This window comes from Homo sapiens, chromosome 6 (assembly GCF_000001405.40).
Source record: "Homo sapiens chromosome 6, GRCh38.p14 Primary Assembly".
Classification (NCBI taxonomy): Eukaryota; Metazoa; Chordata; class Mammalia; order Primates; family Hominidae; genus Homo; species Homo sapiens.
Genome location: NC_000006.12, coordinates 130,817,051 through 130,826,879, shown reverse-complemented (window position 1 = coordinate 130,826,879; position 9,829 = coordinate 130,817,051). Strand labels below are relative to the sequence as shown.

General features: G+C 38.7%; 1 annotated feature.

The window, feature by feature from the left end:
* Nucleotides 437-731: an enhancer, noted in NCBI's record as "tiled region #8038; K562 Activating non-DNase unmatched - State 13:Ctcf". NCBI's record gives its function as "activates a minimal TATA promoter and a strong SV40 promoter by Sharpr-MPRA in K562 cells {active_cell/tissue: K562}" and the evidence as "EXISTENCE:reporter gene assay evidence [ECO:0000049][PMID:27701403]".

The window sequence follows — 9,829 nt, the reverse complement described above, 5'->3', positions numbered from 1 at the left end:
CTTCTGAACTAGATGCTGGGTATACAAAGAAGAGTAAGTCATGGCCCCTGGCCTTTAAGAGTGGAGATAGACAAACAGAGAATGGCCACAGTGTCCGTGGCGGAGTGGCCCATGATGTAGCCCCATCTCCTTCTTCCTGAGGTACATTCGTCCTTGCTGGCTGCATGAGGTCATATACTCTCCTCTGCTCTACTGGGCCTTTCCTGTGGTCCACCATTCGCAGTTAGAAGGTGGCCTCTCATTGATAGTGGTATGGGTTGTGTGGTAACTCCAGAGTTTCTGGGAAAAGAAAGGGCAATCAATGGACCAATGTCAAAGTTGACATTGACTTGTTGACTATGTTGAGTTGTCATTGACTGCTTTAGTGAAAAATTTCCAAAAATATTGGTCTAAAAATGAAAACTGACTAAAAGAGTCATATTCAAAAGATGCCCTGGAGAATTTGGAAGAATGTGGGGAAGAGAAACTGGCAGCCACCTTCTTGGGCTCATTCCTTCTGTCACACTCTAACCCTGTCCCTGGCGCCCTTTAGTGGTGGCTGGAGGAGTCTATCAAGGGCAAGCCGCTGTCAGTGCCTCCCACATTCTTGCATCAGGGACTTTGCATGGTCATGCAGTCTTAGCCCCAGCTGTAAAGTTTGCACCCTAATTTACAAAATAATAAGACTGGAGAGGGTCTCAGGGTACATGCCTGCATTCCTGATCAATGAAGAGTTAGCAACTTCTCTTTCAGAAGAGAGACATCTTAATTTCAGGAGGAACCCTTCAGAATACCTGAGTTTAAGTCAGCATTCATTTACTCACGTATTTCTCTTCTCCCACTCTGCAAACCTGTGAATGGTGTTACTGCTATTATACTTGCATGCCTTCCATTGAGATGTTTCTCTGGTGCTCTTTCAGTTTGAACAGGATGCTAATTTGTAAAGTGTCAATCTTCAAAGAACCTCTGTGAGCAAGTGACATTACCAGGGAGATGTCAGGCAGCTGTTAGGCAGACTGTTTGTCATATTCTTTCTTCCTGTTTCATTTCCATTCAGCAAGCCTTCATTGAATGCCTAAACAAAGGTAAGTTAGGGGAACAGGAAAATAAATGACAATAATGTTAGCTTCCAGATCAACATATAAACAAAGTATAGTGGAAGCACTGAAGAGAGACTGATTAATTCCAGCCATGGAATTGGGCTGGGCACAGTGGCTCATGCCTGTAATCTCAGCACTTTGGGAGGCTGAGGTGGGTGGATTGCTTGAGCTCAGGAGTTTGAGACCAGCCTGGGAAACATGGTGAAATCCTGTCTCTACAAAAGATAAAACATTAGCCAAGTGCCGTGGCATACACCTGTAGTCCTAGCTACTCGGGAGGCTGAGGTGGGAGGATTGCTTGAGCCTGGGGAGGTCAAGGCTGCAGTGAGCCATGATCGTGCCACTGCACTCCACAGCCTGGGTGACAGAATGAGACCTGGCTAAGAAAAAAAGAAAGAGGGATATTTGAGCTGATCCTGGAAGGTGGGTAGCTGAAGAATGCCCTCCTCAAACACATGACAGGAGCGCTGGTTAGGGTTTAAGGAGGATAGGGCAGAATAATTGAGAGTAGCTGGGTGATGTGGGGTTCAGGCCAGAGAGTGTCTTACACGTTGAGGCTGGAAGAGTGGGGTGGTGTTAGAGCTATTAGACTCTGGAATGTCCTGTTATGTCCCATGCTATTTGAACAAAGGTGACCAATTAAAGGTCTTTGATCATGGAAGTACATGACCTGACCTGAGCTCAGTGGTCACTTAGGTAGGACTTTAAAGAAGGGACTGAAGAGAAGAGATCAGAATAGGCTGTCTCATCATGGTAGCAAGATATAATGAGTTTGGGATTAGAGATGGCAGAGGGAGAGAGAAGGGGACAAGAAAGCTGCAGAAATGAAACAAACAGCTGTGACACATGCAATTCAAAGATTACCACAAAGTAATCTTTGAACACTTACTATTTGTCAGGCACGATATACAACAGTTTATGTTTATAATCTTATTTAATCCTCACAGTAATCTTATGTGGAACAGACTCATAAAGATGAAGAAGCAAAGCAAAGAGAAGGTAAATGACTTGCCCAAGAAACAAATCTGATAAGTGACAAAGTTAGGACTCAAATCCAGTGCCCATGCTCTCATCCACTGTGCAATGGTTAACTGCAGAGATGGTGGTGCTGCAAACCGAGACCTCAACACATGCTGGGCAGCAGGTGTGGATGGGGGAAGATATGTCATTTTGCAGTCTTAAGTTGGAAGTGGTGTAGAGGTGTTTGATCGGAGCCTGGTAGGAATATGGAGAGGCCAAGTCTTGCCATGTAGATTTGGGATTTATTATTGTATAGATAGTAGCTGAGGTGGAAGGATGGAGAGATGCCTCAGAAAGGAGTATATATCAGAATAAAAGAGAAACCAACTACAGACCCTAAAGAATGCTCTTGTTTAAGACATAGGAGGAAGGATAAGAACCAAGAAAAAAACAGAGAAGACAGGAGGCTCTGAGAGGTGAGAAAGGAGCCTAGAGGGAATAATGTTAGGAAAATGGTGGCAAAAGAAAGTTTCAAGAAAGAGAGGAGATAAGTAGTACCATCTACAGGATCCAAGGTAATCCCGATCCACACAGAAAGTTTTGAGAACATAATTGTAAAGTTTTTCCTTTTTTTGTCTCTTTAAGTAGCTCATCTGGGGTACAATTGCATACAACGAACTGCACATATCTCAAGTGTACAATTTGATATGTTTTGACATATGGATATGCCCACAAATTCATCAACACAATCAAATGGTGAACATACCCACCACCCCCAAAGTTTTCTTGTGTCCTTTCCTATCCCTGTCCCCCACCCCTCCCACTCCCTCAATCCTCAGGCAATCACTCATTTATTATCTGTTACTGTACATTCATTTGCACTTTCTAGAATTTTATATGAATGGAGTCATGCAATATGTCTCTTTCTACCTAGCTTCCTTCACTCATCATAATTATTTGAAATTCATTCATATTGTCATATATGTCAATTTCATTGTTTTGTATTGCTGAATACCATTTCATTGTATAGATATCCATTTGTTTATTCATTCACCTGTTCGTGGACATTTGGGCTGCTTCCCATTTTAGGCTACTACAAATAAAGCTGCTATGAACATTCCTGTACTAGTCTTTATACATACATGTGCTTCCATTTCTCTTGGAGAAATACCTAGTAGAAATGCTGGATCATATGGTAAATGTATGTTGACATTTTAAGAAATTGTCAGACTGTTTTCCGAAGTGGTTATACAATTTCGTAACCCCACCAGCAGTGTATGGGAGTTCCAGTTCCTTCACATACTCAGCTTTTCTTGGTATGGTGACTCTTTTTAATTTTAGCCATTCCGATGGTGGGAAGGGATATCTCATTGTGGTTTTAGTATGTATTTCCCTAATGATGTTGAGCATCTTTTCATGTGCTTATTTAATAATTGTGTATCATATTTGGTGAAATGCCTGTTGAACTATTTTACTGATTTTTTAAAAATTGTGTTGTTGTTTTTAATTTTAAGAGTTCTTTATATATTCTAGATACAAGTCATTTATCTGACATACGACATGATTTGCAAATATTTTCTCCCAGTCTATGTCTTGTCTTTTCATTTACCTAACAATATCTTTCAAATAATGTAAGTTTTAAATTATGATGAAGTTTAAATTATGATGAACAACTTGTCAGTTTGTTATTTTACGGATTGTATTTTTCATGTCTGAGAAATCTTTGCCCAACCTAAGATCACAGGGATCTATATTTTCTTCCAGCAGTTTTATAGTTTTAGGCTTTATGTTTAGGTCTATGGTCTATTGTAAGTTAATTTTTGTGAATGATGCGAGGTAGGGGTTAAAGTTCTTTTCTTCTTTTGCAGATGGATTTTCAACTGTTTCAGCACTATTTGTTGAAAAGATTACTGTTGCTTCACTGAATTGCCTGTGCACCTTTGTCAAAAATCAGAAGTCAATAATGTGTGGGTCTATTTCTGCACTCCCTATCCTGCCTTACTGATCTAATTGTTAATCATTGCACAAATACCAATCTGTCTTGATTACTGTAACTTTATTTTTTAGTTTTTTTATTAATTTTTTTTATTTCCATAGGTTATTGGGGAACAGGTGGTGTTTGGTTACATAAGTTCTTTAGTGGTGATTTGTGAGATTTTGTTGCACCCATCACCCGAGCAGTATATGCTGCACTCAATTTATAGTCTTTTATCCCTCACCCCCTTCCCACCCTTTCCCCGTGAGTCCCCAAAGTCCATTGTGTCACTCTTATGTGACACATAAGAGTCACATAAGAGTGACACATAGCTTAGCTCTCACTTATGAGTGAGAACCTATGATGTTTGGTTTTACATTCCTGAGTTACTTCACTTAGAATAATAGTCTCCGGGTCACTGTGAATGCCATTAATTCATTCCTTTTTATGGCTGAGTAGTATTCCATTGTGTGTGTGTGTGTGTGTGTGTGTATCACAGTTTCTTTATCCACTTGTTGATTGATGGGCATGTAGGTTGGTTCCCCATTTTTCAATTGTAAATTATGCTGCTATAAACATGCGTGTGCATGTATCTTTTTCATATAATGACTTCTTTCCCTCCAGGTAGATACCCAACCCAGTAGTGGGATTGCTAGATCAAATGGTAATTCTACTTTTAGTTCTTTAAGGAGTCTCCACACTGTTTTCCATAATGGCTGTACTAGTTTACATTCCCACCAGCAGTGTAGAAGTGTTCCCTAACCACCGCATCCACACCAACATCTCCTGTTTTTTTATTTTTTTGATTATGGCCATTCTTGCAGGAGTGAGTTAGTATTGCATTGTGGTTTTGATTTGCATTTCCCTGATCATTAGTGATGCTGAGCATTTTTTCATGTTTGTTGGCCATTTGTCTTTTGAGAACTGTTTCATATGTTTGTTGGCCATATCTTCTTTTGAGAACTGTTGATTCATGTCCTTAGCCCACTTTTTGATGGGAATTTTTTTTTTTTTTTCCGAGACAGAGTTTCACTCTTGTTGCCCAGGCTGGAGTGCAATGGCATGATCTTGGCTCACTGCAACCTCCACCTCCCAGATTCAAGCAAGTCTCAAGTCTCCTGCCTTGGCCTCCTGAGTAGCTAGGATTACAGACGCCCATGACCATGCCCAGCTAATATTTTGTATTTTTAGTAGATTGATGGGAGTTTCACCATGTTGGCCAGACTGGTCTTGAACCCCTGACCTCAAGTGATCTGTGTGACTTGGCCTCCCAAGGATTGTTTGTTTTTTTTTTCTTGCTAGTTTGTTTGAGTTCATTGTAGATTCTGAATATTAGTTCTTTGTCAGATGTATAGATTGTGACGATTTTCTCCCACTTTGTGGGTTGTCTGTTTACTGTGTTGACTGTTCCTTTTGCTGTGCAAAAGCTCTTTAGTTTAACTAAGTCTCAGCTATTTATCTTTGTTTTTATTACATTTGCTTTTGGGTTCTTGGTCATGAAATCCTTGCCTAAGTCAATGTCTAGAAGGGTTTTTCCAATGTTATCTTCTAGAATTTTTAGTTTCATGTATTAGATTTAAGTTTTTAATCCATCTTGAGTTGATTTTTGTATAAGGTGAGAGATGAGGATCCAGTTTCATTCTCCTACATGTGTACAGCCAATTGTCCCAGCACTAAATATTGAAAAGGGCGTCCTTTCCCCACTTTATGTTTTTGTTTGCTTTGTCGAAGATCAGTTGTCAAAGATCGGAACTATTTGGGTTTATTTCTGGGTTCTCTCTTCTGTTCTATTGGTCTATGTGCCTATTTTTATACCACTACCACACTGTTTTGGTGACTATGACCTTATACTATAGTTTGAAATCAGGTAATGTGATGCCTCCAGATTTGTTCTTTTTGCTTAGTCTTCCTTTGGCTATGCAGCCTCTTTTTTGGTTCCATATGAATTTTATAATTTTTTTTTCTAATTCTATGAAGAATGATGGTGGTATTTTGATGGGAATTCTGTTGAATTTATAGACTACTTTTGGCAGTATGGTCATTTTCACAATATTGATTCTACTCATCCATGAGCAAGAGATGTGTTTCCATTTGTTTGTGCTGTCTGTGATTTCTTTCAGCAGTGTTTTGTAGTTTTCCTTGTAGAGGTCTTTCACCTCCTTGGTTAGGTATATTCCTAAGTATTTTATTTTCTTTTTTTGCAGCTATTGTAAAAGGGGTTGAGTTCTTGATTTGATTCTCTGCTTGGTTGCTGTTGTTGTATAGGAGAGCTATTGATTTGTGTACATTAATTTTGTATCTGGAAACTTTGCTGAATTCTCTTATCAGTTCTAGGAGCTTTCTGGAGAAATATTTAGGGTTTTCTAGACAAACAATCATATAATCAGCAAACAACGACAGTATGACTTCCTCTTTACCGATTTGGATGCTTTTTATTTCTTTCTCTTGTCTGATTGCTCTGGCTAGGACTTCCAGTACTATGTTGAAGAGGAGTAGTGAGAGTGGGAATCCTTGTCTTGTTCCAGTTCTCAAAGCGAACACTTTCAACTTTCCCCCGTTCAGTATTATGTTGACTGTGGGTTTGTCATAGATGGCTTTCATTATATTGAGGTATGTCCCTTGTATGCTGATTTTGCTGAGAGTTTTAATCATAAAGCGATGCTGGATTTTGTCGAATGCTTTTTCTGCATCTATTGAGATGATCATGTGATTTTTGTTTTTAATTCTGTTCATGTGGTGTAACACATTTATTGACTTGCATGTGTTAAACCAGCCCTGCATCCCTGGTATGAAACCCATTTGATCATGGCGGATTATCTTTTTGATATGTTGCTGGATTTGGTTAGCTAGTATTTTGTTGAGGATTTTAGCATCTATATTCATCAGGGATATTGGTCTGTAGTTTTTGTTTTTGGTTATGTCCCTGGTTTTGGTATTAGTGTGATACTGGCTTCATAGAATGGTTGAGGAATGGTTCTCTCTTTCTCTGTCTTGTGGAAAAGTGTCAATGGGATTGGTACCAATTCTTCTTTGAATGTCTGGTAGAATTCTGCTGTGAATCCATCTGGTCCTGGACTTTTTTTAAATTGTTGTTGGTAATTGTTAAATTACCACTTCAATCTTCTTATTGATCTGTTCAGGGTAGCTATTCTTCCTGATTTAAGTTAGGAGGGTTGTTTCTTTCCAGGAATTTATCCATCTCCTCTAGCTTTTCTAGTTTATGTGTGTAAAGGTGTTCTTAGCAGCTTTGAAGAATCTTTTGTATTTCTGTGGTGCCAGTTGTAATATCTCCTGCTTCATTTCTAATTGAGTTTATTTGGATTTTCTTTCTTCTTTTCCTGGTTAATCTTGCTAATGGTCTATCAATTTTATTTATCTTTTCAAAGAACCAGCTTTTTGTTTCATTTATCTTTTGTATTTTTTTTGTTTCAATTTCATTTGGTTCTGCTCTGATCGTGGTTATTTTCTTTCTTCTGCTGGGTATGGGTTTTGTGTGTTCTTGTTTCTCTGTTTCCTTGAGGTACAACCTTAGATTGTCTGTTTGTGCTCTTTCGACTTTTTGATGTAGGTATTTAAGACTATGAACTTCCCCCTTAGCACCGCCTTTGCTGTATCCCAGAGGCTTTGATAAGTTGTGCCACTATTGTTGTTCAGTTTGAAGAATTTTTTAATTTCCATCTTGATTTCATTTTTGACTCGATCATTTGGGAGCAGGTTATTTAATTTCCACGTATTTGTATGGTTTTGAAGGTTCCTTTTGGAATTGATTTCCAGTTGTATTCCACTGTGGTCTGAGAGGGTGCTTGATATAATATCAATTTTCTTAAGTATGTTGAGGCTTCTTTTGTGGCCTATCATATGATCCATCATAGAAAAAGTTCCATACTGTTGAATAGAATGTATATTCTGTGGCTGTTGGGTGGAATGTTCTGTATATACCTGTTAAGTCCATTTGTTCCAGAGTATAGTTTAAATCCATTGTTTCTTTGTTGACTTTCTGTATTGAAGACCTGTCTAGTGCTGTCTGCAGAGTATTGAAGTCCCCCACTATTATGATGTTGCTGTCTATTTCATTTCTTAGGTCTATTAGTAATTGTTTTATAAATTTGGGAGCTCCAGTGTTAGGTGCATGTATATTTAGGACTGTGATATTTTCCTGTTGGACAAGGCCTTATATCATTATATAATGTCCCTCTTTGTCTTTTTTAACTGCAGTTGCTTTAAAATTTGCTTTGTCTGATATAAGAATAGCAACTTCTGCTCACTTTTGGTGTCCATTTGCATGGAATGTCTTTTTCCACCCCTTTATGTGAGTCCTTATATCTTAGGTGAATCTCTTGAAGGCAACAGATGGTTGGTGAATTCTTATCCATTCTGCAATTCTGTATCTTTTAAGTGGAGCATTTAGGCCATTTACATTCAAAATTAGTATTGAAATGTGAGGTACCATTCCATTCATCGTGCTATTTGTTGCCTGTATACCTTGGTTTTTTGTTTGTTTGTTTTTTTAATTGTATTTTTGTTTTATAGGACCTGTGAGATTTATGCATTAAGGAGGTTCTGTTTTGATGTTTTTCTAGGATTTGTTTCAAGATTTAGAGCTCCTTTTAGCAGTTCTTGTAGTGGTGGCTTGATAATGGTGAATTCTCTCAGCATTTGTCTGAAAAAGACTGTATCTTTCCTTCATATATGAAGCTTAGTTTTGCTGGATACAAAATTCTTGGCTGATAACTGTTTTGTTTGAGGAGGCTGAGGATACGGCCCCAATCCCTTCTAGCTTGTAGGGTTTCTGCTGAGAAATCTGCTGTTAATCTGATAGGTTTTCCTTTTATAGGTTACCTGGTGCTTTTGCCTCGCAGCTCTTAAGATTCTTTCCTTCATCTTAACTTTAGATAATCTGATGACAATGTGCCTAGGCGATGATCTTTTTCAATGAATGTCCCAGGTGTTCTGTGAGCTTCTTGTATTTGGATGTCTAGGTCTTTAGCAAGGCCGGGGAAGTTTTTCTCAAGTATTCCCTGAAATATGTTTTCCAAACTTTTAGATTTCTTTTCTTCCTCAGGAACACCAATTATTCTTAGGTTTGGTCATTTAACATAATCCTAGACTTCTTGGAGGCTTTATTCATATTTTCTTATTCTTTTTTCTTTGTCTTTGTTGGATTGGGTTAATAAAAAGACCTTGTCTTCGAGCTCTGAAGTTCTTTCTTCTGCTTGTTTGATTCTATTGCTGAGACTTTCCAGAGCATTTTGCATTTCCATAAGTGTGTCCATTGTTTCCTGAAGTTTTGATTGTTTTTTATTTATGCTATCTATTTCACTGAATATTTCTCCCTTCACTTATTGTATTTTTTTTTTTTTATTTCCTTGCACTGGGCTTCGCCTGTCTCCAGTGCCTCCCTGATAAGTTTAATAACTAACCTTCTGATTCTTTTTTAGGTAAATGAAAGGATTTCTTCTTGGTTTGGGCCCATTGCTGGTGAGCTAGAGTGATTTTTGGGGGGTGTTAAAGAACCTTGTTTTGTCATATTACCAGAGTTGGTTTTCTGGTTGCTTCTTGTTTGGGTAGGCTTTGTCAGAGGGAAGGTCTAGGGCTGAAGGCTGTTGTTCAGATTCTTTTGTCCCATGGGGTGTTCCCTTGATGTAGTATTCTCCCCCTTTTCCTAGGAATGTGGCTTCCTGACAGCCAAGTTGCAGTGATCGTTATCTCTCTTCTGGATCTAGTCACCCAGCAAGTCTACCAGGCTCCAGGCTGGTACTGGGGGTTGTCTACACAGAGTTCTGTGATGTGAACCATTTGTGGGTCTCTCAGCCGT